This window comes from Homo sapiens, chromosome 1 (genome assembly GCF_000001405.40).
Source record: "Homo sapiens chromosome 1, GRCh38.p14 Primary Assembly".
Classification (NCBI taxonomy): Eukaryota; Metazoa; Chordata; class Mammalia; order Primates; family Hominidae; genus Homo; species Homo sapiens.
The window spans coordinates 3,889,133-3,915,447 of NC_000001.11; the positions used below are offsets into that span (position 1 = coordinate 3,889,133).

General features: G+C 53.8%; 1 protein-coding gene and 1 long non-coding RNA gene across 4 annotated transcripts, besides 9 other annotated features; one reads left to right on the forward strand and one right to left on the reverse strand.

Annotated features, from left to right (window-relative positions):
- C1orf174 (chromosome 1 open reading frame 174) lies at positions 1-11,140 on the reverse strand. 3 transcript variants are annotated; one of them, XM_011541323.3, is made up of 5 exons: positions 6,163-10,449; positions 3,609-3,864; positions 2,494-2,647; positions 1,437-1,925; positions 1-941 (listed from the first exon to the last, which is right to left on the reverse strand). In XM_011541323.3, exons 2-5 carry the CDS (start codon positions 3,614-3,616, stop codon positions 828-830), a joined length of 765 nt encoding a protein of 254 aa, XP_011539625.1. In that variant the 5' UTR covers positions 3,617-3,864; positions 6,163-10,449; the 3' UTR covers positions 1-827. The 3 variants fall into 3 exon arrangements, with proteins under 3 accessions (XP_011539625.1, NP_997239.2, XP_047275177.1); NM_207356.3 differs by lacking the exons at positions 2,494-2,647; positions 6,163-10,449 and adding an exon at positions 11,040-11,140 and having other exon boundaries at positions 3,751-3,864; XM_047419221.1 differs by lacking the exons at positions 1-941; positions 6,163-10,449 and adding an exon at positions 11,040-11,140 and having other exon boundaries at positions 1,800-1,925; positions 3,751-3,864.
- Positions 2,124-2,213: a silencer, noted in NCBI's record as "silent region_128". NCBI's record gives its function as "represses an Ori minimal core promoter by ATAC-STARR-seq in GM12878 lymphoblastoid cells {active_cell/tissue: GM12878}" and the evidence as "EXISTENCE:reporter gene assay evidence [ECO:0000049][PMID:35858748]".
- Positions 10,232-10,802: an enhancer, noted in NCBI's record as "H3K27ac hESC enhancer chr1:3815928-3816498 (GRCh37/hg19 assembly coordinates)". NCBI's record gives its function as "activates a minimal SCP1, AML or CMV promoter by ChIP-STARR-seq in naive H9 embryonic stem cells {active_cell/tissue: H9 hESC(naive)}" and the evidence as "EXISTENCE:reporter gene assay evidence [ECO:0000049][PMID:30033119]".
- Positions 10,803-11,371: an enhancer, noted in NCBI's record as "H3K27ac hESC enhancer chr1:3816499-3817067 (GRCh37/hg19 assembly coordinates)". NCBI's record gives its function as "activates a minimal SCP1, AML or CMV promoter by ChIP-STARR-seq in naive H9 embryonic stem cells {active_cell/tissue: H9 hESC(naive)}" and the evidence as "EXISTENCE:reporter gene assay evidence [ECO:0000049][PMID:30033119]".
- Positions 10,891-10,960: a silencer, noted in NCBI's record as "silent region_129". NCBI's record gives its function as "represses an Ori minimal core promoter by ATAC-STARR-seq in GM12878 lymphoblastoid cells {active_cell/tissue: GM12878}" and the evidence as "EXISTENCE:reporter gene assay evidence [ECO:0000049][PMID:35858748]".
- Positions 11,272-26,315, forward strand: LINC01134 (long intergenic non-protein coding RNA 1134). Its single transcript, NR_024455.1, has 4 exons — positions 11,272-11,499; positions 14,833-14,904; positions 24,560-25,158; positions 25,263-26,315. It is a non-coding gene; the product is annotated as a long intergenic non-protein coding RNA 1134 (long non-coding RNA).
- Positions 11,372-11,941: an enhancer, noted in NCBI's record as "H3K27ac hESC enhancer chr1:3817068-3817637 (GRCh37/hg19 assembly coordinates)". NCBI's record gives its function as "activates a minimal SCP1, AML or CMV promoter by ChIP-STARR-seq in primed H9 embryonic stem cells {active_cell/tissue: H9 hESC(primed)}" and the evidence as "EXISTENCE:reporter gene assay evidence [ECO:0000049][PMID:30033119]".
- Positions 11,581-11,840: an enhancer, noted in NCBI's record as "active region_68". NCBI's record gives its function as "activates an Ori minimal core promoter by ATAC-STARR-seq in GM12878 lymphoblastoid cells {active_cell/tissue: GM12878}" and the evidence as "EXISTENCE:reporter gene assay evidence [ECO:0000049][PMID:35858748]".
- Positions 12,041-12,220: a silencer, noted in NCBI's record as "silent region_130". NCBI's record gives its function as "represses an Ori minimal core promoter by ATAC-STARR-seq in GM12878 lymphoblastoid cells {active_cell/tissue: GM12878}" and the evidence as "EXISTENCE:reporter gene assay evidence [ECO:0000049][PMID:35858748]".
- Positions 18,310-18,369: a silencer, noted in NCBI's record as "silent region_131". NCBI's record gives its function as "represses an Ori minimal core promoter by ATAC-STARR-seq in GM12878 lymphoblastoid cells {active_cell/tissue: GM12878}" and the evidence as "EXISTENCE:reporter gene assay evidence [ECO:0000049][PMID:35858748]".
- Positions 22,091-22,976: an enhancer, noted in NCBI's record as "H3K4me1 hESC enhancer chr1:3827787-3828672 (GRCh37/hg19 assembly coordinates)". NCBI's record gives its function as "activates a minimal SCP1, AML or CMV promoter by ChIP-STARR-seq in naive H9 embryonic stem cells {active_cell/tissue: H9 hESC(naive)}" and the evidence as "EXISTENCE:reporter gene assay evidence [ECO:0000049][PMID:30033119]".

Below are 26,315 nucleotides of genomic sequence, written 5' to 3' on the forward strand. Positions count from 1 at the left end.
TATTTTCAAAATATATTTTATTTCTTTCTTACATGTATTTTGCAAAATTTCCAAGGTAAACATTAGCTCCACATACAGAAATAAAAGAGTTCTTTAAGAACTAGCATTGAATTCATCACAAGAATCATCAAATTATGATAATGGAAAACAAACTTGCCTATGACCAAAGCTACTGAGCTGAAGTGAAGAGCTGTCTTTACAAAGATCCCTCTCATTAAGCCCACTGCCCTGCAGCTGACTCAAGCCATCATCATGTATGTACGTGTATAAGAAAGGACACTGGCCGGGCATGGTGGCTCGCGCCTGTAATCCCAGCACTTTGGGAGGCTGAGGCGGGCGTATCACGAGGTCAGGAGTTTGAGACCAGCCTGGCCAACGTGGAGAAACCCCCGTGTCTACTAATAATACAAAAACTAGCTGGGTGTGGTGGTGTATGCCTGTAATCCCAGCTACTCAGGAGGCTGAGGCAGGAGAATCACTTGAACCCAGGAGGTGGAGGTTGCAGTGAGCCGAGATTGCGCCATTGCACTCCAGCCTGGGCGACAAGAGAGAAACTCTGTCTCCAAGGAAAAAAAAAAAAAAAAAAAAAGAAAGGACATTGGCACAGTACAGCAGCTTTGCAACCTCAAAGATGGTTTGAGTTTTAGTTCCCATGAGTACATCCTCCACAGGTATTGGGTGCTTTGCACTATTGACTTAGATGGGTCAGTTCTGAAGTTTGATTAAGACATTCTCTTGGAGATACATTTTATATAAATCTTGTAATGTGCTAAATTGTCAAATTGTTAATGGTACTAAATACTCAAGGACATTATTTTGTATGGCCCCTACATTTCTGCATCATCGTCGTCGTCATCATCATCATCTTTGGCTCTGAAATGCATTTTTCTGAACTCTCGTCTGCTCATTGAAGGACAAGATGAAGACGCAGGTGGGAGGTCCTTAGTGGAGAAGAAAACATGACTTCAGTCATGAGCAATACATATCTGCACCCGCATTTGCAATGTGCCCCACCCAGCGGCTCTAGGGCTCGCAGAGCGCTCTTCCCTTTTAGACGTGTGAAAATGCCTGAGTCCCAGCACTCGCCTCTAGATGAGAACTTCCTCCCTACTGGGCTGATCGAGTAAAGAGAAGGAAAGGTGCTGGGTTCAAAACAAAAGAAATTAACAGCAAGCGCGGGGTGGATGTTCAAAAAAACCACAAACCTGATTTCATGGAAACACACCTTTCCCGAGAGCAGTGATTCTCAGCTCGGGAGATGCAGGGAGAGCCCCCAATTAGCCAACGGTTTCATTTTCTCCTCGTGGGTTAAAATGATTAGTTTATGTTTAATGTTGTGTCGAGGCATTATTTACCTGCACTGAGTGGGGAGTGTGTGACCTGAATGTGCAGCTGCTGCCTGAGTACCCACGGGAGGAGGAAGGCGCCGCTCTTACCTGCATGAGCTCAACGTTTCCAAAGAACCGGCTCACGGGCATTGGCTGATTGCTGTCGTCATCTAGAAAGACGCTGTTGTCCATCTGAAGTGGTGGCTTCTGCACATCCTCTGTCTGTAGCCCTGGCTCATTCTGCTTCTGCACAGTGGAGCTGCTGTTGGATTCTTCTGCTCCGGACCCGGCACTGTGTTTTGGCACGGACAGGCCATCTCTAGTCTTTGCTAAGCGAGAGTCACTCACAACTCTGCAGCCACCGAGAGGAAGACTTGCAGCCCCCTGCTGCACAGAAACGCCAGCCTCGCTGCCTGGAAGCAAGGCACTGCCTTCAGCAAACTCATTTTCACAAGGGGTCTCAGGTGTCACTTTTGGCAAAGAAGCGCTGTCATTCTTAGGGACAAGCTTCTGTAATTCTGACTTCACAAGATGTCCTTTGTCACATTTGAACTTCTTGGACGTTCGCGTGTCTGTGGCTTTGTGGGATGAGGAAGTCTGTCAAGAAAAAAAATGTAAGGGGAACCAGACATATCTAGCAAATAAAACAGGCCTCAATCCAGAGGCTAGTATTTCTTCTCACATCGGAAATGATAAAGATGCTGTGACCACAACTTTCACAGATCGTCATTTCACTGTTTTGCCACCAAGGGACAAAATACAAGCGAGACTGAATCTAGACACACCCCACACCACTCCTACACTTTCAGTTTTCCCTAGTGGCGTTACAGCTCCACACCACTCCTACACTTTCAGTTTCCCCTAGTGGCGTTACAGCTCCTCAGGTGAATTCTGAAGCATATATTTATATATTATACAATTACAGTAAAAGAATCCAGCTTTCATTCATTTCTGCTAGGGCATAAGCTCTGTGAAGGCAGGGGTCTTTGCTTTATTCACCAATTAGTGCCTGGCACACAGTAGGTGCTCAAGAAATATTTGTGAAATTGACTTCGACAAAATTTTACCAAGCACCTCATCATGAGCAAAGCTCTGTGCTACACGCTGGCATATGGCCAAGTCCTAACCCCTCAACTGTAGGCTCCGTGAAGCGGCTCTACTTCACCGGTAAGTTCAGGAACTCGCTCCTCGGAATCGATGGCTGGGCTAGGGTGAACGGCAGACGGCATGAGATTCCTTTCCCCACCCACTCTGCCTTTCTCTTCAAGCCTCTGGCGGTGAGGCTGCACGGCAATGGGCCAGCATGACTCCATAGCACGCTAAGAGCAGAGCGATGAGCACAAGTGGCCTCAGAGCCTGGTTTAGACACACACACGGGTGGGCAGGTGCTAGGATCAGAGCCCGGGTCTAGACACACACACGGGTGGGAGGGTGCTAGGATCAGGGCCCGGGTCTAGACACACACACGGGTGGGCGGGTGCTAGGATCAGAGCCCGGGTCTAGACACACACACGGGTGGGCGGGTGCTAGGATCAGGGCCCGGGTCTAGACACACACACGGGTGGGCGGGTGCTAGGATCAGGGCCCGGGTCTAGACACACACACGGGTGGGCGGGTGCTAGGATCAGGGCCCGGGTCTAGACACACACACGGGTGGGCGGGTGCTAGGATCAGGGCCCGGGTCTAGACACACACACGGGTGGGCGGGTGCTAGGATCAGGGCCCGGGTCTAGACACACACACGGGTGGGCGGGTGCTAGGATCAGGGCCCGGGTCTAGACACACACACGGGTGGGCGGGTGCTAGGATCAGGGCCCGGGTCTAGACACACACACGGGTGGGCGGGTGCTAGGATCAGGGCCCGGGTCTAGACACACACACGGGTGGGCGGGTGCTAGGATCAGGGCCCGGGTCTAGACACACACACGGGTGGGCGGGTGCTAGGATCAGGGCCCGGGTCTAGACACACACACGGGTGGGCGGGTGCTAGGATCAGGGCCCGGGTCTAGACACACACACGGGTGGGAGGGTGCTAGGATCAGGGCCCGGGTCTAGACACACACACGGGTGGGAGGGTGCTAGGATCAGGGCCCGGGTCTAGACACACACACGGGTGGGCGGGTGCTAGGATCAGGGCCCGGGTCTAGACACACACACGGGTGGGCGGGTGCTAGGATCAGAGCCCGGGTCTAGACACACACACGGGTGGGCGGGTGCTAGGAGAGCCAGCCCTGGCCTGCAGAGTGTGTCTTTCTCTGAAGGCAATTACAGTGCTGTCACCTTTTCATCTGCAATAGTCCCCCTCTGGCAGATAAGTAACAGTCGATATTTTTCTAAAGCAACACATCTTGGAGTGGCAATTTTGTATAAAAATGGACCCTCGAGTCAGGATCTTGGCGTTCTCCACGGTAACAGGGCTCACCAGACATGCTGTCTTGGCAGACGTGGAACCAGCAACTTCCTGGGCAGAGGCCAACCTGGCTGCCGAACAACTTCGTGCTTTCAAGCGCGCTGAAGACCGCACTGCACCTGTGAGCTAGAGAGATTGAGAGCCACTCAGAGAGTGCTCTCAGGAAGGCAGCATGAACATGTAGACGAGAATTTCCCACCTAAAGAACACCCGAAGACCGCCCCTCCCACTCCCAGGATTTTATCATCTTTGTGGAGACAGCTGTGGCCCGAATGTGTAAATCCAAATGAAACTGTGCCTGGATTTAGGATACAGGATCTACTATTTCCACGATTTTGGAGGCTTGGGACGATCTGTCCCCCTTATCTTGTATATTTCTAGTAGCCACCATTTGTCCTTTAGTGGAAATTAAGTCAACTTCAAAGTGTTTAGAATAAGCAGCACATGCCCTTCCTTAGAAGGCTCTCCAACTTTCATACGTTGTCAAAGTTTTTAAAAAAAGGTAACATGAGGAAACCAAAGTTTCTCTTCCTCAAATTAGACTCCTATTCTATTAGCTGAATGCAGCTAGCGACTGTCTCACAAATTTTAATATTAACAAACTGGTCCACCTCTCTTTTATCCTGAATGCAAAGCAAACTCCTCTAATAACAAGAAAGAAATTAATTAAAGACATAACATTTAAAATAACTATTTAGGAATAATTTTCGGCATTCAGAAAGTTGCAAAAAATAGTACAAAGAAACTGGTGTGATAGCTCACACCTGTAATCCCAGCTACTTGGGAAGCTGAGGTAGGAGGATCGCTCGAGCCCAGGAGTTCAAGACCAGCCTGGGCAATACAGCGAAAGCCCATCTTTAAAAAATTTTTTTAAAAATTAGCCAGGTGTGGTGGTGTGCACCTGTAGTCCCAGCTATGTGGGAGGCTGAGGTGAGAGGATCACTTGATCCCAGGAGTCTGAGGCTGTAGTGAGCTATGACTGCACCACTGCACTCCACCTGGGTGACAGAGTGAGACAGTGTCTCTGAAAAAATAATAATAATAAAATAGTACAGGGAGTTGCCATGTAGCCTTCACTCAGCTTCCACTAATGTTAAACAACTACAGGACATTGTCAACATTAAGAAATTAGTGACATTACGGTACTCTTCACTAAACTATAGATTTTATTTGTATTTTATCGGTTTCTCCATGAACCGTTTTTCTGTTCCAGAATCCAGTCCACAATACCACACTGCACTTAGAAAACTCGAAAGGAATGAGTGTGAGTAGTAGAAGCAACAAACAGGAGCAATGCAGGTTGACATGGCCGGGAAAGGCCCAAGAGCTGCTGCCAACAGGCCCTAGAACTGGAACCCAGAAGGGGACGGATGAAGAGTGCCCTGCCCAACAGCAGATAAGAGAAATAAAAAAAGGAAAAAAACAAAAAAATAAAACACAGAAATAATCTGTCTCGGCTGGGCGCGGTGGCTCACGGCTGTAATCCCAGCACTTTGGGAGGCTGAGGCAGGTGGATCACAAGGTCAGGAGATCGAGACCATCCCGGCTAACACAGTGAAACCCCGTCTCTACTAAAAATACAAAAAATTAGCCGGGCGTGGTGGTGGGCGCCTGTAGTCCCAGCTACTTGGGAGGCTGAGGCAGGAGAATGGCGTGAACCCAGGAGGCGGAGCTTGCAGTGAGCCGAGATTGCGCCACCGCACTCCAGCCTGGGTGACAGAGCAAGACTCCGTCTCAAAAAAAAAAAAAAAAAGAAATAATCTGTCTCAGCCATGCACCCCGTAGCCCAAGACAGCTCCAGAAACCCTGTGGGGTGGCAGCTCCAAGGTCCTGTGATACTGTGGCAGTCAGAGTGTGTGTCTGAAACAGGAGGGAGAAGAGCAGGCAGCAGCCCACCGGAGGCCAGGACGCCCGCCTGCTGTACACAGGACACGCCAGTTGCCCACAGGCTGGGTGAAGTGCCTGCTACCACAGCACACCGGGGGCTGCGCCTCCGTCCTCTCACAAGGGCAGGGCTTTGCTGAGAGCCCCGGCAGACGTCATGGTCACAGTTACACCAAGGGGACTGAGGCAACAGAGGTTACAGAACTTGCTAAGAGTTGCCATAAACATCTCTCATCAAAATCCTCCCACTGGGTCTTAAACAAGCCCATCTCCCTAAAACGCCATCACGTGCCTCGTAGGGAAAAGACATCTCTGACCTAGAAAGCCACTGCCCCACCTCTCCTCCCTGCTGTGAGCCCTCCTCCGGGCGCTTTGCTGCTCTGTGCTGGAGTATGCTGTGTGGGGAGCCCAGCTCGGTGCCTGAACAGCTTTAAAGGAGTGGCACACCCATTTCAGATGAGGACAACTTGGGTAAGGAGCTTATGAGGTTATACGAGTGATGCCTGGCTTCCAAATCTCTATTCCATCACCACAGCTCACCCTAGATATGACCCCCAACAACTGCCTGAGGTGGGGATTGAACTGAAGAAGCTGCCACCCGCTCTGTGTTCTACGCCTGCACGTCTTTTCCCGCAGCAGGTGCTTCTCAAGGCTTCTGTCAGCATCTTGGCAGCAGTGGTTCTGAACTTTTCGCGTGCAACAGGTTCATCAGGTGGACCTTTTGGCCCCTTCTGCAGAGAAAAGCCAGATGATCTGCTGGGCTGGAAGCGCTGGCTGTTAACAGACACCTGAGGATCTGGTGGGCCTGGAAGCGCTGGCTGTTAACAGACACCTGAGCAGGCCATTTGCTGTCCTCTCCGGATTGACAGGAGTCAAAACATGAGATCGGCTTAGCTTCAGTTTCGTCATGGATTAACCACCTCCAAGGTGTCAACTCCAAAATGTCAAGAATTGGTCACAGTCTCACTTGCAGATTCCTGCTCTGCAGCTGGGCAGCTTGGACTGCTCCCACAGTCCAAAAAAGGAAAGACTTTCTCATCATTGAGATTCTCCTCATTCCAGTAGATTGTTTAATAACTGGTATGTCAGAAGCACAAACATGGTTTCTCCAAAAGGGCTGGCCGAGACTGACTTCAACATGATGGCTCGAGGAGCTTCACTGACCTTCTCAGAGAGTAATGAGCAGTCCCAAAACAGCCATTTAGAGAGCCTTTGGAAATGGTCCTATGGGCACCCAGCAAATGAAGAAACACTTGCTCCAGAACACCTACATACATTTGGTAAGGACACGGAGAGTCTGTGGCACTTGAGCTCCATCCTGCTGCAGCCAAGAACACAGGGCCACCTCCCCAGCTCCCAGGCAGCGGGGTGTCTTCCCAGGAGAGGCAGGATAGCAGTGCTTCCCTTTCTGCTCTCATCCCACCTGTGACTGAGACCAGGTCCTGAGTGAGTAGGATTGAGAAGAGGGGCCCTCCTTTCTGCTCAGACCCTATTTGTAGAATGAAGGCTTCACCTTGGCTCCATTCTACCAGTACGGTTTAAGCCTCTGCAAGAGGCTCCGCCCAGTGAACGGAGAAGACTGGGGCCCCATCAACCCCGTCCTAGATATGAGGTGGTTCCAGGCTGGGGAAGACACATTTGGAGGATCTCAGGCTGCTGCTAGCTCCCCCAGCCCCTATTCAGAGAGGAGCCCATTACTGTCCTCAGCTGCAGGCCCTGGCTCAGAGGCTCTGCCTGGGATGAGAGGCAGGCAACTAAACAGACAGCTCTTACACCTGCCCAAAGGCACCAAATTCCCTGCCATGGAATGTGGAGAAGTTCCGGCCTAAGGGAGCTGTTCAAGTACCGTGGATGCTGTGACGAAGGGGGTGGAGGCAGTGGAGAATCAAGCAATAGGCCAAATTGTAGGCCAACCAGTTCGCAGAAGAGAACCAGAGACTAACACGGCTGGGAGGAGGCCTCTTGGACACAGAACAAACTAACCAAACACTGACCTTAGAAAGTATCCCTTCGAAGAAGCCACAATTTGATTGGATTAGTTTGTAGAGCAACTTATGCCCAGGCTGTTGCTGAGAACAGCACAATAACCTGGCATTAGCGAAGTTCAACAGCTGGATGTGGTCAGGGAAAGAGGAAAAGGACCTCACTAAAACCACTGTCATCCAGAGTGGCTGGGTGCCACCCCCCACCAGCAACATCACAGGCTGAACACTGTGGCAGGGGAAATATACTTTATCAAAACAATCTACCCAGTTGCTAAACAAATAAGCATATTAACAATGACAAGCCCCAGGGTTGGGGACAGTACCCAGAATTGCTAAAATGTATTATCTAAAATGTCAAAAAAATTATGAAGGCATAATTCCAACAAAAAATTATGAAGCACTCAAAGAAAAAGAAAAGTAGGCTCATACACTGGAATAAAAGCAGGCCACAGAAGCTGTCTGTGAGAGTGACCAGATGTTGGATTTATACATATATAAAGGACCAAGGTAGCCATGATAAACAATATCAAGATCATGAATAAAGAAGAAACATAAGATAATGCTGCATCAAAGAGACTATCAATAAAGATAAATTACTTAAAAACCAAATGGAAATTCTGGAGTAGAAAAGTACAAAACCTGAAATAACAAAATTCACTAGAAGGGCTTAATAGTAGAACTGAACTGGCAGGATAAGCAAACTTGAAGACAGATCGATAGATTATGCATGCTGAAGAACACAGAGAAAAAAAGAACGAAGAAAAATAAAGCAAGCTGCAGAGAAATGCTGGACATCATTAAGTGCACTAACATACACAAAATAAGAACCACCAGGAATGCAGAGAGAAAGGAGCAGAAAAAATATTTGAAGAAATAATGGCTGAGAACTTCTCAAATTTACAGAAAAACATTAACCTATATATCCAGGAATCTTTTTTTTTTGAGACGGAGTCTCACTCTATCGCCCAGGCTGGAGTACAGTGGCATAATCTTGGCTCACTGCAAGCTCCGCCCCCCAGGTTCATGCCATTCTCCCGCCTCAGCCTCCCAAGTAGCTGGAACTACAGGCGCCCGCCACCACGCCCCGCTAATTTTTTGTATTTTTAGTAGAGATAGGGTTTCACTGTGTTAGCCAGGATGGTATCAATCTCCTGACCTTGTGATCCGCCTGCCTCAGCCTCCCAAAGTGCTGGGATTACAGGCGTGAGCCACCGTGCCTGGCCCCATATCCAGGAATCTTAATGAACAGAACTCCAAATAGGATACATGCAAAGAGATCCACAGACACATCACTGTAAAAATACAAAGATCAAAGGCAAAATCTTGAAAGAGAACAAAACCTTGAAAGCCCCAAGAAGAAAGCCACTTAGAAGGGAACCTCAATAAATGAACTGACTGAAACAATGGAGAATATTCAAACATATTCAACATGCTCAAATAAACTTGTCAACCAAGAATCCTATATCCAGCAAAGCTATACTTCAAAAATGGGCTGGGCATGGTGGCTCATGCCTGTAATCCCACCACTTTGGGAGGCTGAGGCAGTGATCACCTGAGGTCAGGAGTTTTAGACCAGCCTCGCCAACATGGTGAAAACCTGTCTCCAGTAAAAACACAAAAATTAGCCGGGCGTAGTGGCAGCCTCCTGTAATCCCAGCCATTCCAGAGGCTGAGGTGAGAATCACTTGAACCCGGGAGGCAGAGGTTGCAGTGGGCCGAGATCACACCTCTGCACTCCAGCCTGGGCAACAGAGTGAGACTCTGGTCTCAAAGCAAAAACAACAACAACAACAACAACAACAACAACAACAACAAAACTCACTTTACAAGAAACACTAAAAGAAGTTCATCAGGCTGAAAGCAAGTGACCCCAGACAGTAATTCAAAACCACACACACACAAAAACAGCACCAGTAAAGGTAATTATGTTCTTATATAGTTTAAATGCCTATTCCTCTACCTCCTTCTCTTAATTTAAAAAGCAATTGTATACAGTAATATGTGTATAATATATACAGACATGTACTATATTTGCCAATAACAAAACAAAGTGGGTGAAAGCAAACCCCTGCTGGCTAAGGAAATGACCACAGACAGAAAGTAATAATGATAACACAGTACTGTTGAGTTTGTAACATTATCAGATGTAATACATATAACAAAATACCACAAAAATAACCATATAAGAGTAACATTTCTGTATCACTTGGAATTAACCTAGTACAAATCTGAAGCTTAAGATGTATATGGAGAATATGAAGATTAAGCTGTATACGGTAAAACATAAAGCACTGGAAAAAACCCAAAAAAGTTGTGGAAAAAAAATCATTAAATTAAAATGCTACATTAGGAAATATTCACTTTAATCCACTTAAAGAAGGAACAGGGGAAGAAAAAGACAGACTTGTATAAAGAAAAGAAAAAGTAAAATGGCAAATGTAAACCTAACTACAGTGTATCAATAATATTAAATGTGCATGGGCTAAACAATTCAATCAAAAGGCAGAAACTACCAGACTGCATTTTAAAAAAGATCCAAGTATATGTGCCTACAGGAGACAAGTTTTGGTTCAAAGATAAAAATAGTAAAAGGAGTTGGAATTCACAAGTGGCCACTCCATTTGAACAAACCAGGAGAGCCTCCATGCAGCTCAGAGCCTCCCAAGTGGACCGGGACCCGCGCCGGGTCCACTGTGAAAAGGGTCCTTCGCCTTAACTGTTACACCCACGCAATGAGCACTTGCCCCTTGCCAGACACTGGCACCCCCCTTCAATCCTCACCACCCTCTTGGTGGATCCCTCATCACCCCACTTTTAGCACATTCAGTAGATGGGGCCAAGCTGAGGTCACTTGCTGTGTGACGTCCATTGGAGTGGCAGCAGTTGAGGGGCACAAACTCAGCTCTGCAGCATCTAGCACTACCAGGAGTTGAAACCAGTTCTGGAGAGGGTGCCCCACCTTCCTAGGAAAGTGGCCCGAAACCTCCCTTCAAGGGGGCGTGACCTGGGAGCCCCCTGTTGCCCAGGACGTGAACTGTGAGCTCCACTTCTCCCGAGGGCGTGGACCGGAGCCCCCCTTCTCCCGCGGGCATGGCCTGGGAGCTCCCCTTCTCTCGGGGGTGTGGCCCAGAGGCCCCATTCTGCGGGGGTGGGTAACCTGGGAGCCCCCTTCTCCCGGGGACGTGACCTGTGAGCTCCACTTCTTCCGAGGGCGTGGCCCGGAGCCCCCTTTTCACAGGGGCGTGACCTGGCAGCCCTCCTTCTCCCGGGAGCGTGGCCTGGAGCCCCCCAACTACTGCCGGGGGCGAGGCCCAAGCGGAGGCCGCTCCTAGGCCACAGGCACCCCGTGACCCCGCCCCGGTTCTCCAGACAGCAGGTGACCCAGAGTCCCCGCCCTGCCCGGCGCAGCTGCTGCCGGGACCCAGCCCTCACCTTCCGGCTCCTCATGAGTGTGAGCACCGCAGCCAAGCACCGCGCGCCCCGGCCAACGCGTCCCGGCGGAGCGGCGACCCGGAGTCTGCAGAGCGCGCCGCGGCGGCGTCCGACGTCAGCACAGCCAATCACAGTGCAGCACCCTCGTCATGTGATTCCCCCCCCCCCCCCCCCCGTGTTGGCTCTTTCGTAAGCGGCGGGCGAAGGTCACAGGCCTTGGGCCAGTGGTGGGACACTGGAGCAGGAAGTCGGCCTGTGGCCGGCCATGTTCATGAGGGCGCGTCCCTTGGCACCCCTGTAGCCGCTATGTTTCCCACGCCCGTGGCAGGCCTGAGAGATTATGTTTGCGGGGGGTGCTTTTTTTGTAGCTTCTGTGTTCGCCATATTTGAAAGGGGCAGACGGCCATGTTCGTGAACGGCGCTTCCCTTGGTGCACCTGTGGCCGCCATGTTTGAGCGAGGTGGGCAACTATGTTCTTGAGGGGGGAGCAACCATGTTCTTGAGGGGCTCTTCCCTTGAAGCCTCTTTGGCCACCATGTTTGAGAGGGGCAGACGGCCATGTTTGTAAGGGGCGCTTCTCTTGGTGCGCCTGTGGCCGCTATGTTTGAGAGGGGCAGGCAACCATGTTCGTGAGGGGCGCTTCCCTTGAAGCCTCTTTGGCGCCATGTATGAGAGGGGCGGACGGCCATGTTTGTGAGGGGCTCTTCCTTTGGTGCGCCTGTGGCCGCCATGTTTGAGAGGGGCGGGCGGGACGTCCGTGAGGGGCCCCTCCCCTTGCATCCCCTGGCTAACAGCCTGCAGGAGGGCGGGAAGTGCTTTCTCCAGTGCCGCAGAGCGCTGGTTTCTGAGTGCCGGTTAGCGGCCTTGAGCAGCGCGAGGGACTCCCAGGCCTGCCCGTGCTGCGGTCCCGCTGGGGAGCTTTGCGCGCTTGTCGCAGGCTGTGCTGCCCCGCGACATGCCGCTTTGGGTTGGGGTGGCCCGCCCGGGAAGTGGCCTCAGCTGTCCCCCACGTTGCGGGCGGGAGGGGGCCTTAGTGGAGGCCGTCGGTGGGCCCAGGAGGCCAGGGTCCGGCGTCGGGCTGGGGGCCGGTTTTCGTCCCCCGTTACGTGCAAGGCGGGAAATGACCCCTCCGCCGTCCCGTTACTCTCCGGGGCCAACGTGGACTCGCAGGGGCCACGCCTTTTCCAATGGCCACGCCCCTAGCAGGCCTGGGTGGACCCGCAGCGGCCACGCCTCCTCCAATGGCCGCGCCCTATCAGGTCTGGATGGACACACGGCGGCCACGCCTCCTCCAGCAAACACGCCCCTAGCAGGCCTGGGCTGCTGTGATGCGTCCTCTTTGGCCGCCGCTGAGGGAGGTGTTTGTAAAGCTGAGGACCACTGTTCTGTTGTGGGTTTTTTTGTTTGTTTGTTTGTTTTTTGAGACGGAGTCTCGCTCTGTCACCCAGGCTGGAGTGCAGTGGCGCGATCTCAGCTCACTGCAACCTCCGCCTCATGGGCTCAAGCCATTCTCCTGCCTCAGCCTCCTGAGTAGCTGGGATTACAGGCAGGCGCCACCACACCTGGCTAATTTTTGTATTTTTAGTAGAGATGGGGTTTCATCATGTTGGTCAGGCTGGTCTCGAACTCCTGACCTCAAATAATCCGCCCACCTTGGCCTCCCAAAGTGCTGGGATTACAGGCGTGAGCCACCGTGCCAGGCCCACTGTTCTTTTCTTTTCTTTTTTTTTTTTGACGGGAGTCTCGCTATGTCGCCCAGGCTGGAGTGGAGTGACGCAATCTCGGCTCACTGCAAGCTCTGCCTCCCGGGTTCACGCCATTCTCCTGCCTCAGCCTCCCGAGTAGCTGGGACTACAGGCTCCCGCCACCACACCCGGCTAATTTTTTTGTATTTTTAGTAGAGACGGGGTTTCACCGTGTTAGCTAGGATGATCTCGATCTCCTGACCTCGTGGTCCGCCTGCTGCGGCCTCCCAAAATGCTGGGATTACAGGCGTGAGCCACCGCGCTCGGCACACTGTTCTGTTCTTAAGAATTTCAACATAGAAATGAAATCCAGCCTTGCCTTAAACCCTCCAGCCCTCAAGTTCTCTGGGCTCTAGGATGTGTGTCTTCAGAAAAGGGCGCAGGGTGGAAGCCACATCAGAGGCCGAGGACACCTGGCCCCTCCCCTCTCCGCCCGCAGGTGGCTGCGCAGTCCAGGGCTGGCTCCCAGGTGCTCGGGCGCAGGGTGCACCCAGCAGCCCGTACTGTGCTTTGCAAATAAATGGGAGTCTTATTTCCTTTTTAAATCATTATTTTTTTTTTCAAGTGAGAACATTTAAATCAGGCAGTTTTGTCAGAAGCATTAGGTTTTCCACTTAAACTACAAAGGTTGAAAAGTGAACTGCATTGCATTGTGGCTTCATGGCCTGCTCAGGGTCCCTCTGTGCACTGTTCCAAGGCAGGGTGTGATTCATAATCTCTTCCAAAAGCATCAGTGTGCCTTCTCTTACGGTATGACTCTCTCAAAGCCCAGACATGCAGCTGATGCCTCCTTTTAGTGCCTGAGAAGGGAGAGTATTTAAGGATCCTGCCAGCTTGAGCTCTATGCAGCCTCCACTCTCTTTAGAAGTGTGACGTTTGGTAATTAGGTGGAGCCCTCAAATTAGACTGCACGTGGGGTTTTGCTTTCGGCAGTGAGTGAAGATGCTTGCAGCCCTGGTGTACACACACACACACATGTCCTACCTGGCTGTTGTACCCTCTCTCTTCCTAGCCCTGCGCTTCTCCCGTGTTATTATCCATGTTGTACAGAAGGGGAGGAGACAAATGTGTAACTGGCAGGAAATGCGTTTGAAATGGAAACTTAATATAATCGCTGCCAGCTGTTCAGAAAAAAATGAGAGCGAGCGATACTTTGTTAAACACCTAGCCTGTCCCATTTTCGCAGAGATTGATTTCATAATAAGCTTGGTTCAGTGGTTTTATTTCCCAGTCCTTGGGAGCTCAAAGTTTTCATCCACTGGGGCTTGGCTGGTGTTTGCCTGTCTTGTTTGTGGTTGGTGCCAGTTGATGTAAATGCCTCACTGCCTGGCCTCGCCCGCCCGATGGGGGCTCTGGGCTCCGAGCCATGTGGACTTTTAACATCCCAAAGGGCACTCTCCTTCCCTTCACCAATGTTGTCTGTCCTCTCCCCAGGTCTGGGATGAGCATGGTTTCCAGCCTCCCAGCTGTAAGGCCTGACACCCAGGCCATTGGTGAATGTCTCTCTCTCCCTGCCCACATCCTGTCAGATGCCGGTTGCTGTTAATTCTAGACTTTGAAGCCTCACGGCTGGTCTCTCCTTTTCCTCTGGCCTGGGCAGCCCACAGCTGTTGGGGTGATCCCCTGCTTCTGGGATCCAGAGCCACAGTCTTAGAGTGGCCTGTAAGTCCTGGCATGGTGCCTGGCACACTGTGGGTGCCCAGCAGGTGTTTGTCCAATGAATGTGCGGAAGGGCTTCTGAGCTTGCTCACCGTTGCCGCTCCCTGCTCCAGCCGCACAGAGTCCCAGCACCTGTTCCCCTGCCCCTCTGCTATCCACAGTGCCTCCCTCAGCTCCTGACCACTGCAAAGCCTCTTCCCCACTTCCCTGTGCCTGAAAACCTTCTTTCCCCAGCTCCCCAACCCACGTTTTGCCTGGCTAATCCATTTGTTAAACCTCAACTCAGCTTATATCTCCTGTCCTCAGGGGGCCCTTCCTGGATGCTCCCCCGCCCCCTACATTCAATCTGCCGGTTGCTGCTTTTTTAGTGTTCTGCACTCTTCTACCAGGACCCCGTGGCAGGCCAGGACCGTTTCTCCGGTGCTATCCCAGAGCATGGCGCATCCACTCATTCACTCAAGGTATCAAGCTCCACTGTGTTCTGGGGACTGGGCCAGGCGCAAGCCCAGGCATGGAATCATCACACAGAATTGTACGTTTGCAGTGTGATGGGAGCCACGGGGGAGAGGCCACATGGGCAACAGCACAGAGCTGGGGGTGTCGGGTGAGGATCCTGGGAGGAAGTGGCTGGGGCCCCCTCTCCCTCCCTCATCCTGTAGGATGCAGGCCCCTTTCAGGCCCACCCGGGGGAAACAGAGCCTCCTAGTCAAGGCTGGATGTGCAGTGGAGCCCTGTCTGGACAGGCTACCCCTCCTGACGAGGTGGGAGGTGTTGGCGTGGGCAGAGGAGCCAATCTTGAATTCTCTCCCCCGCTCCACCTCAAGCTGCCATGTGGAATTGCAGGAGACCCTGGAGGGAGCAGAAAACCAGGCTCGGCCGAAGCCACCTCCACACCACGGTTTCCTGGGTTCCCCAAAACCAGGCTTGGCCGAAGCCACCTCCACACCACAGCTTCCCGGGTTCGCTGTGTCTGCTTCTGTTCTTATTCCTGATTAGCTGTGCCCCCACCCGGCCAGGTCAGGGCACAGTGAGACTCCCCATGGTGGCAGGCGTGTGAAGTCTGTGCAGGCTTGTACGTGGCTGGCCCCCCACCTGAACTGTACGCCCCTGGAAGGCAGGGTCCGTGTTTTGTTCACGGAGGCTGGTGATACCCAGAGGACATTGGCTGGCTGGCTGGCTGGCCGGGGGCGAGACGCACACAGAGAACTTGAGGATTGTGGATTGGAGGAAACTTTGCATTCTTGCCCATACCACAAATTTCTGACTTAAAACACTGCTGTGCCCCAGTTCAGTATTTGCCTTTGACAAACACTGTAGGGCCAGTGAGAAAGTTGAAGAGATTTTTCAACTGACTAGCAGTCGGTAGACCCGTTAACTGAGGCCACCCCGGCCAGAGCACATTGCATTCCTGCCAACAGATGGTGGCCTGTATGATGACAGGGCCTCTCTTGCATATGGCCTTTTATAATTAAAAGAAAGAAGTAATAGGTAGAAAGAGAGAGAGAGAGGGAGAAGGCAGGGGAAAAAAAGCTTGCAGCATGCTTTTAAAATGTCATCGCACCACTGCACTCCAGCCTGGGTGACAGAGTGAAACTTTGTCAAAAAAAAAAAAAAAGTTCTCTTTGAATTGACCTAAACTAATGTTTTCTTAATAGCCCACCCTCTCCTATCCTCTCGGTCCACCCGACTTAGCTGGGCAAAAATAACCCTGTGGTAGGACAGCCGTCTGCTGTTGGAAAGTATCGCAGCTCCTCCCGTGTCTGCCCCGTGCACATGTGCCAAGGTCCTGCCTTGAATGAAGGACACAGCGGAGAAGGATGTAGGCTCTGAGCCTGCTAGGGTGCCTGAGAGACTCACAGGACTACCCCTGGGGCAGTTGGAAGATGCCCAGAAACTTCAGGGAGCCACCAGCATGGGGCAGAGGGTCTCTTCTGGAGTTGGTGGCATCAGAATCAGGTGTAGAGTACATAGGAACTGTTGGCGCCGTGCAGAGATGGGGAAGGAGGTGCCGGTGGAAGGGCCCAATGCCTGCGCCCCTGGGGCCCTCACTGGAGGCTGAGCATCCACTGGACTCTTGTAGCCCGCTTTGTAGACTGATCAGTAGTCTGTGACATGACGATGTTTGAGTAGAGTAGACCATTTTCTGCTTCATATATCCTACAACGTGCTGGGATCAGGAGGCAGTGGTGGGTCCATGGCATCTGACCCAGCCCGACGCCCTTGTGGTCTCCAGGCGGTCATGACCCATGGCCTGACCCGGCTTGGTCAGCCCGGCCTGGCCGTGTCTTCCCAGGTTCACACCCAGCCCTGGCCCCTCTCTGCCCCCTTGCCAGGAAATTTGAGTCCTCCTTAACGTTTCTCAATATTGTGGTTTTGTTTTGTTCTTTCTCATTCATTTGTCTTTTAATTTTTGGCTTCCGTTTTTTATGGGCACCTAATTGTGTGTGTTCTAAAAATTGAATTGTGCTTCTGTTCTTATTGATGGCAGCTAACCATCACTGTGTAAGTAGGCAGGATGTGGAGGTCTACCTAGGAGAACTCGCTTGCCTCTGCTTTTCACCGACGCAGGCCCGGTGGAGATGCTCCAGCGGAAGCCAGGACTTGTCTCCTGGTGGAGTCCACCGGTTTCATTCATCAAAAGTTTGTTGGGCTCTCTGCACACACGTTGTAAAGAGCACTGCAGGCAGTGCACAGGCAGGGCTGTGGGAGCTGTGGGCGTGGCTCCCGCCAGGGTGGAGCTGCACCCTCCATGGGGAGTCATGGTGCATGTGCACAGCTGCAGAGAGAGGCTGCAGGGCAGGAGAACCTCGGGAACCCCGTAGTCTCCGCTTGCCCTGACTGTATGAAGAACATGCTCCATTTGGGTATCAGTGAAACTGCACACCAGGGGGGAACATTCAAATCGTGAACTCCAACATCATCCAGCAGAAAAGCTCCGAGCGATGGGCCACTTTGTGCCTTGCTGCCAGCCCTCCGCTGGGATCACGCTGCAGTGTCCTTTGAAGAAAAGGCCTGGGATTTGCAGAGCCTGGAGAAGGCTAAATTTCCAACTAGATGAAAAAAAAAATTGCCATTTTATGAGAACCTTTGGGCAGTCTGGAAGAAAAACACCAAGATGAAAAGCCCTATTTTGAGAGCTCCCTTGCCTTCAAGCAGGGGCCGCTGGCAGTGGAAACCGGCTGGGGATCGGGCTGATGGCAGAGTGAGGTTCAGGCTGGGAGCGGGCATGTGGACAGGTCCCTCCCTGCAGATCCACGTCTGCCTCCCACTCGCAGATGCCCCTGTGCCCAGCGCACCGTAGGCTCACTTGGTCAAACATCAGGGGCATGGCAGGGCCAACAGATAAATGGATTTTCCCGCAAACGTACTAGTCATTGATGGGCAGCTGTTTTTCCCTCTGTGGCCGTGTAGCCATGCTCAGGCCATGTGCAGGATGAGGAATTCCTGAAGAACTGTCTGCACCCAGGGCAGAGATTACGGGGTTCTGAGGTTCCCCCGCCCCGCGGCCTCTCTTGGCGGCTGTGCGTGTTCAGTTGCCTTCATTGAAACCCAAGCATCCGTCCTCGGCTGCCACCGACACAGGTCAAGGCCACCCAGGAGGAGACACTGTGGGGCCCTGCCCAGTTCTCACGGGTATCGCATTTTGGCAGGACGTGGACCCAGGCAGGACTGGGAACGATGACCCTCAAGTCCAGGTCGGTTCCCATGTGTGGCCTTCAGGAACTAAAATCATCAGCTTTCAAATCAAACAGGTTTCATCTGAGCTACTGAGACGTCACGGGCTGTCAGTAAAGGCCATGAGGGCCCCCTAGGGGCAGCAAAGGCCGTGGGAAGATGCAGGAAAGAGTGAGTGGGAAGGCAGGGGTGTGGCGGGAAGGCAGGGGTGCGGCCGGAGGGCGGGGTGGGGCTTGCAGGCTCTCCCGCCTAGTGTCTCAGCCACTTGAAAGTGAGCTGTGAATAGGCATCACTCCACTTTTAGGGATGCAGGACAGTAGAGACTGTGTGTTGGTGGCATGTTTCAGAAATGAGACTTCTCCACGTCGGTGGGGAGGGGTCTGCCCTGCTCATGGGCCCTGGGAGCGGAATGGCCGACGGCCGGTCTCTGCTCACCCAGGCTCGCTCCGCCCCACGGAGGATTCCCCAGTTTCCTCGAAGGGCACTTGCCTACCGAGGTCCCTGCGGCTGTGACTTCCCTGTCATGCTGCTTCCTAAGAATCCAGAACAGATTCAGGTCAGTGCGTTTCGAGGCAGCTAAGTACAACGGCAGCGTCTGTCCTTAAACTTGAGTGCAGAGCCAGGGTCACCGCCGCCCGCTCGCAGCAGCTGACTGGTGTGAACTGATGGGGTGGACATAACCTGGCTTCTCAGGTGGGGCTTTGCAGGGCTGGCTTGCTCCAGGCTCCCTCCAGGCCACCTTGTGCAATGGTTTCACCTCGTCTTATTCTAGTGCAGGTTCGCCCCCTGCCTGGCTCCATCCTTCTTTTCAAAGTCTGGGCACAGAATGGAGGCCAGCCCACGTGGTTATCTGGTCTCCACACGTGTCTCTGGGTTTGTGGGGGTGTTGGCTTGCAGACCAGGAGCAGCTAACAAGGTCTGTACCTTGTTTCGAATTTTGGACTGAACTGTCTGGAATTCTTGGACGTTCTCAAGCTAACTCAGTTGCATGAATTTAGAGGCAAAAGGGTGGGGATAATTTTTCCCTTGGATTTGTCAGTTCCAAGATGTATAACTTTAGTATTCCAGAAAATAGATTTATACCAGATCGGGAATTTCTCTATTTCTCTCTCTCTCTCTTTGCTCTCTCTCTGTCTCTCCTCTCTCTCTCTCTTTCTCTCTGTCTCTCTGTCTCTCTCTCTCTCTCTCTCTCTCTCTCTCTCTCTCTCTCTCACACACACACACACACACACACACACACACACACACACTCAGTAAGAGTTCAGGCCAGTTACAAAGGTCAAGGACACAGTCCATGCAAGGCCTCACCCTGGTACGAATCACAAGTTCAGGTGCCCAAGGCCACCCTCAGTTTGATGATTCTAGAAGGACTCCCAGAACTCCTTGAAAGCTATTACACTCACAGTTGTGGTTTCTGTATTAGTCCATTCTTGAATTGCTGTGAAGAAATACCTGAGACTGGGTAATTTATGAAGAAAAGAGGTGTAATTGGCTCCTGGGTCCACAGGCTGTACAGGGGCATGGTGGCACCTGCTCGGCTGCTGGGGAGGCCTCAGGAAGCCTCCAGTCCTGGCAGAAGCCAGAGGGGAGCCAGCCTGTCTGGGTGGGAACAACATCTACATAAATCAGTTCCTTACCGGGAAAGGATACAGATTAAGATTGGCCAAAGGAGGGGAGGCAGGGGGCCGAGTCCAGGAAAAGTGCCCCAAGCGGAGCTCTTGCTGTCCCTTTCCTGTGGGACTGGGACTTGTGACTCTCCTGCGTCAACGTGGTAGCACGAGCGAGGGCCAGCCTCAAGCCACAGTGTCCAGGTTCTCACTGGGGCTCCATTCCATGGGCATGGCTGATTGAGTGACCACCCAAATGGTCAGTCCCCGTCCTGCGGCCGATTGCCACCGTGTGGTCCCCATCTCCCACCCTCCATGACACCGTTGGTCTTTCTGGCATGGCCAGCCCCACCCTGAGACCATCATGGTGGCTCTCCTCCACCCTAAGTCACATCACTGGACTCTCCTGTGTAACCCAAGGCCCTGGGCAAACAGTGACTCCTATCAGGCAGGACATCGTGGAGGTCACCTCCCAGTGGCTGAGGACAAAGGTCAGGCCTCTTTGGGGCAGGATTCAATTCTTACCGCAGACCTTCCTCCTCCCACACACAAGTGAGCTACGGAGAAAAGGGAATAGAATATCTCTCTGGTGGGTCTGGAATGCCCGTTTTCGGAGGCTGGTTGGAACTTTCTTATCTCCTTTTATTTCTGATTTCTGTTGAAATTCCCCGGAACTAATGCCTATTGTATGAACCTGATTACAAAGAGAGAGATTTTACAGAGCATTTTTCCTCTCAGGAAAAAGGAGGCACCCTGCTTTTTTCTCAGTGAGAGAGAAATGTTCTTTGAATAATTTTTTAATTTACTAAAAAATTTTTGATCCTACTGCTAAGGGGATGCAACCTTCCTGCAGAGAGGCGTGCAGATAAAGTTGTCTTAATATTTGCATTTCTGCAGAGCATGGGCTGCTGCAGCCCGGGGGGTGTGTACCGTGGTGATTTGTAAAGTGACTTCTACCCTGTCACAGGGGTGAGGAAAATGGGTCCCCAGGCTGTGAAGGCCTCGTCCCTCCCCACGGCCATGGGAACCGGACTGAGGTTCCTTACTTGGCTGGACACAGTTTGACCCAGACTCTTCTCCAAACCAGAGGCCAGCCTTCCCACTTAGTAAAAAATTCGTTATCCTTCCCCTAGATGTTATTAATTTCTTCCTGGGGTTTTAAAGAAGTCAGTGCATTTTATGGCCAGTGGAGTGTTGATGGTTCAGTGCACATAGCACCTGCGTCTGTGAGTGGAGTGTTGATGGTTCGGTGCACATAGCACCTGCGTCTGCGGTGATCAGCACCCTCGGGGCAGAGCGTTGCATCCAAACGGGCATTTTCGGCGTGATGTTCCCAGTGGGGCTTTTCCTAGCAATGGCTTTTTAAACTCTGCTGCGAGGACGCCCAGCATCAGCGACATCCAACTCCCTGGAACGGCAGGGCTGCCACTGAACTTGTGTGGTCCAGGCCTGGAGTGTCCAGTTCTCTCTCAAGCTGGGCACTGGGTCCCCGAGAGTCTCCCAAGGACAATGGAGAAGCAGGATGCGCGGGCTCAGAAGCAATGCGGCCCCCCAGCACTGCATGCCCAGCCACCCCAACTTCTAGGCAGCTGCAGGCTCCCACCTGCGCAGAGAATAGGCTGTTCACCTGCAACGGCGGCTGGCGCCGGGGGAGGTGGGCGTTCTGGGAGAGGAGGAGCCCCTGGCTGCATGGCTGTGCCGTGGGTGGTGCCGTGGACCTGCTGGTGGCCGAGTCCCTCTGAGGGCTGCATGTTTTGAGGGGACCCTGGCTTTGGCCTGGCATGGACCCTCTTGCGCAGATCATCTCGTGATTCTCCTGGCAACCCTGTGAGACGGACGGGTTCTTTCATTGCCCACTGTTGGCACCTGGGGAGATGGAGGAGCACAGAGGGGACACACCTTGCTCAGGATCACACAGCAAGGAGGTGCCAAGGTCGAGTTGGACCTGGACTCCCCACTTTCACGGCCATGTGGGTCTCTGCAGGGCACCCTTCCTGGAGGAGGACCGGTGCAGACCCCTGTTGAGTAGGGGACAGCCGCCTGGAGAACCACCCTTGGCCGCCTTAGGTAGGTGCCAGCGCAGGTGTCTGCAGTCCTGACGCCAGGGGGCAGGATGAGACAGGGGAACGAAGTCGGTGCGGCAGGCGTGGCGGCCTCGCCGGTCTTTTCCTGGGACGCTCTCAGGATGGCTCTCGGAGGGTGCCCGGGCGGCAGGCAGGGCTCAGAATGCGGCTCCGTTGCTCACTAACGGCCTTCAGAGTCTTCTGAGCAGTCCAGGATGGGGGCAGCAGCTGCCTCTGTAGAGAATGTGAATCTTTGGCTTCTCAGGTATCCAACACCTTGGCAAGCACCAGGGAGTGAAATCACTGAATTAAGAATGTGTTTGTGAGAAGTGGCAGCTGCTTCCCGCTGGGGCTCAGGGAGGGAGTTGCGGGCTGGGCCGGGGGCTGCTGAGCTCCGTGTCCACTGCTGTCTGGTCTGGAAACAGCGTGAATCCCGGTGACCGCCGCTCCCTCCCAGGCTGTCCCGGCAGGTTCTGAGCTGGTGAGAGGGATTTCAGGGTGGTGGGTGCTGTGCTGAGGCTTTGCTCCCCTGCTGGGTTGAGTGTCTGCAGCCGCCCCCACATCCCCCGCTTTGCTAGTCTTTTCCTTCACGCAGCCTTTGCTGCCCAGGGGGACCCACCCCAGCTGTTCTCGGGAGCCCAGCCCCTCTGCAGAGTTCTTTAGGCTGCTCCTACCCAGAGGGACCTTCCCAGCAGGTGGGCCTAGCTTCAGATCTCCAAGTCTGTGGTGGCCCCCACCCACTGAGACCCAGGAGGCCCAGCGGGACTTGGGGTTCAGGCCAAGGTTTGTCTGGCTCCCTCCTTCCTCCTTCCAGGCACGTTGTCTAGAAATCACCTCATCTCTTACAGGTCACCAGTTAATTGTGTTGGAGGAAGCTCTGGGATGTACGGGTCTGAATGGCCCACAGCAGTTCAGGCCCTGGACTGAGCCTGGAACCCGCCCCCAGGGCTGGGTCCTGGCCTCGCCCATCTGTCTCCCTTGAGGGGAGGGCTGGGTTCTTCTCTTGGCCTCAGTTCCCTCCCGTTTGCCATTCCAAATACTTTTTATTCCCTCCCCCTTCCCCCAGCATCTCCTTTCTCTTCCTTTGTCTCCAGCCTTGTCTGTCGCTTTGCTTCTGGGCCTTGGCATCTGGGCATGAACCCACCGCCTCCAGCCAGTGCGAAGAGTGGGCGCCACTGGCCGGGTTCATCTTGCTGTGGTGGCGTGTTTGGGGGACCTGGGGGGGGACTGATGGGTCCCCAGGGTTTCTGAGGATGTGGGCCTTGGAGCGCTCCCAAGAGGCCAGTCTTCGTTTAACGTGGGTGGTCCCCACAAATGCTGGGGATGGGGGGTTTCCGGCCGCCCTCTGGGCATGAACTTTGGGCCTTTATCCCAAGTCTTCGGGGCAAGGAAGGGGAGTGGGAATTAAACTGGTGCCGGCCGTTAGGTCCACCCAGCAGATCTACCCGGCAGGCACAGCACCGCGGTCCGGAGAGCGCCAGTGCCTGTCACCAGGAGCAGAGTGAACCCCTCGTGGGTGCCAGCTCCTCCTGCCCCTCCTGAGCCTGACGGGGCTACGGTTTTCAGTGGCTGCGACGCCACAGGACCTGTGAGGAGAGACTGCACCCTGAAGGTCTGGCGGCGAGCGGATCCTAAACAAAGTGAGGCCTAGGAGCGCCGTCCTGAAGGCACTGCTCTCCCCAGGGCCAGCTCCTGGCTATGGGGTCAGACAGGTCGCTGGGTCCTCACAGCCAGCGCAAACACAGATCCAGGCGTGGTCGTCCCGTGTCCAGGGAGCTGCTACCTTGTGCTGCTGGGACCTGGCATCGAGTAGGTACAGCCAAGCCCACAGGAACGGAGCCGTGGCTTCCAGGGTCGTGCAACCCTGGCCTGCCCTGGGCTGGCTGAGGGGCCCACCACCCTGGGCTGGCACTTGGGCTCCCCTCAAGCAGACTGCCTGTCTGCAGCCTCATCTCCTGAGAGCGGAGCCTCAGCCAGCCTAGGTGCAGGTCACCCTCACACGTGGCCGCACCAAGGCCACCTCACAATCACAGCCATGCCACATGCTGAGCCCCCGAGATGTGCAGGCCACATGCCAGCTGGCTGCTTCTGTTGTGTTTCTGCGGGAGCTGCATGAGGCTGAAGGAGAGACCCGGGCAGAGAGAGGCTGAGCCTCTTGCTCTTGGAGGCAGACGCGGGTTTCGGTGCTGCCCCCCTCTGACACCCTGGTCGACATTTCTGTTCCTGCCTCAGGCCTCCTCCTTGAACCTGCCTCTGACCTCACCAGGAGTGGGTTTGTCTGGCGACCAGACCCTGGTGGCCTTCTGCTGAAGCCTCTGCAATCGTTCCGCACTGGGGGCTCGGTGACCGCAGGTGGACCCTGCTCTGTGGGAAGCAGCCTGGGGGCTACGGGAGGCAGTGAGAGGGTCACCCCATCTCTCTGGAGTTTGACACAGTCTCCCATCTGGCCTCAACTGTACTGACCCCTGACCTCTGACCTTCAAGCCCCCAGGCCCAGTCGAACTGGTACCTTAAAAGGACACGGCCTGTTGGTGTCTGGGTGAGGCCACTGGGTCGATGTGGATGGAGGGTGGCTGGATGTGCTTTCTGGGGGTCCTCTGGACACAGGGGGTGCTGTAATCCCCTCCCCTTCCTGGAGACCTGGCGGACACGCCTCCTCCCAGGGACGCCCAGGCAGGCCAAGCCCAGGTCCACAGGTCGCCCTCTGTCTTCCAAGCATTTGAAAGACACTGACAGATGATAATACCTTTTTTTTTTTTTTTTCCATTTAGGGAAAGGCCTGAAAGTAAAATTGTATCAACATTAGGTTTGGCTAATGTTGCCATTAGGCAAACCTAATTTTAATGAAGCCAGGAGGTTCTCGTTTTGGGCCTTGACTGGACAGGTTTGAGCTAGAAACCACTTGAAGTATTGATCATCCATCTGATCATCAAGTTTTTTTTTTTTTTTGAGTTGGAGTCTCACTCTGTTGCTCACGCTGGAGTGCAGTGGCACGATCTCAGCTCCCTGCAACCTCCACCTCCCGGGTTCTCCTGCCTCAGCCTTCCAAGTAGCTGGGATTATAAGCGTGTGCCACCATGCCTGGCTACTTTTTTATATTTTCGGTTGAGATGGGGTTTCACCGCGTGGCCAGGCTGGTCTCAAACTCCTGACCTCAAGTGATCCGCCTGCCTCGGCCTCCCAAAGTGCTGGGATTACAGGCGTGAGCCGCCACTCCCAGCTTGTTCATCCAGTTTTTATTGAGCATCTATTATGTGCCGATATTGAGGTAGACTCTGGGAGTCACAGCAGTGAATGCAGCTGCCTGGATGCCTCGTGAGGGCCGGAGCCTCACTGGGGAGATGGACATGAACAGCAAATGCACAGCGAGGTTGGTCCCCGCACCTGAGACCACACTGAGGCTGAAGGAGGGGCTGGCAGTGCTAGGGCAGGGCTGCGGCTCTCAGCATCCTGATGTGAAATTGTCTCCGGCAGGAAAGCCAGGGGTCTGTGCGGGGATGCTGCAGGACACGAGAACCAGCCAAGACCTATGGCCCCTGCAGCCACCGAGGGCTCGAGAGCGCCCCTGTGGACTTGGCTGGGCCCTTCATGGTGACATCCAGGAATGCGGCTGAGCGCGGGTGTTGACCTCGCTGTTTGCTGGAATGTTTGGGTTCTTGGACCATGTCAGTGACGGCTGTGTCACCATGGCCTTGCTATCCCCAGGAAAACCTAACATGCACCCCGCGCCTGTCCTCTGGGACTCCCATCCTCCTCCTTTGTCTGACCCCTGAGAGGCTTACCGTTTCCCCAGGGCAGCCCCGGCTGTGGCCCTCGGCCCTGCTCCAGGCGGCCATGTCAGTGTCCTCCCTCGGCGCTCCCAACACCCTACCTGGCTCTGCGATGGCCACCCTGGACTCCTAAACACCCCAGAAAGGGAAGAGATTTAAGAGGAACCTTGATTCCTGCCATTCTGCGCAGTCGTGGGTCCCTCCTCCACCTGGGGCCCTCAAGGGGATTTCTGTCCGCACTCCCAGCCAGCGACCCCTCCCAGTTCCTGCAGCTGGAGCGGCCCTCTCTCCTGAACATTCGGGCACCTGCGTCTGTCACTGCAGCCAGAGGGCTGGAGTGTCTTCGGTCAACTCGCCATCCCTGCCACGGCTGGAGGCCACATGTCCCAGAACCTACCTTGCTGGGATGGGGGTTGGGGTGGCAGAGGCTGAACGCGTGTGAGGTTTGGGGGAGGACAAGCGGAGCGGGGATGTGTGGGAGGTCCTGGTGTCCACCGTGAGGATGGTCACACCCCATAGCTTTGTTGATGCTGTGGCTGTAGCAGGCCCAGTGGCTCCGCTGAGCCTCCCTAGCACCAGTGCCCAGTGAAGTGTGGGGGGCTGGACATAGGTGGCCTCAGTTCCTGGGACTCCCCCAAAGCTCTGGTTTCCCCCCTGCTCCCAGGCTTCAGGTGGACGAGTTAGTGACCACCCCCACTCCAGACCTCCCTCCCCTAGCCACCCCCACAGTTATAAAAACCTTCATTCTCATATGGAA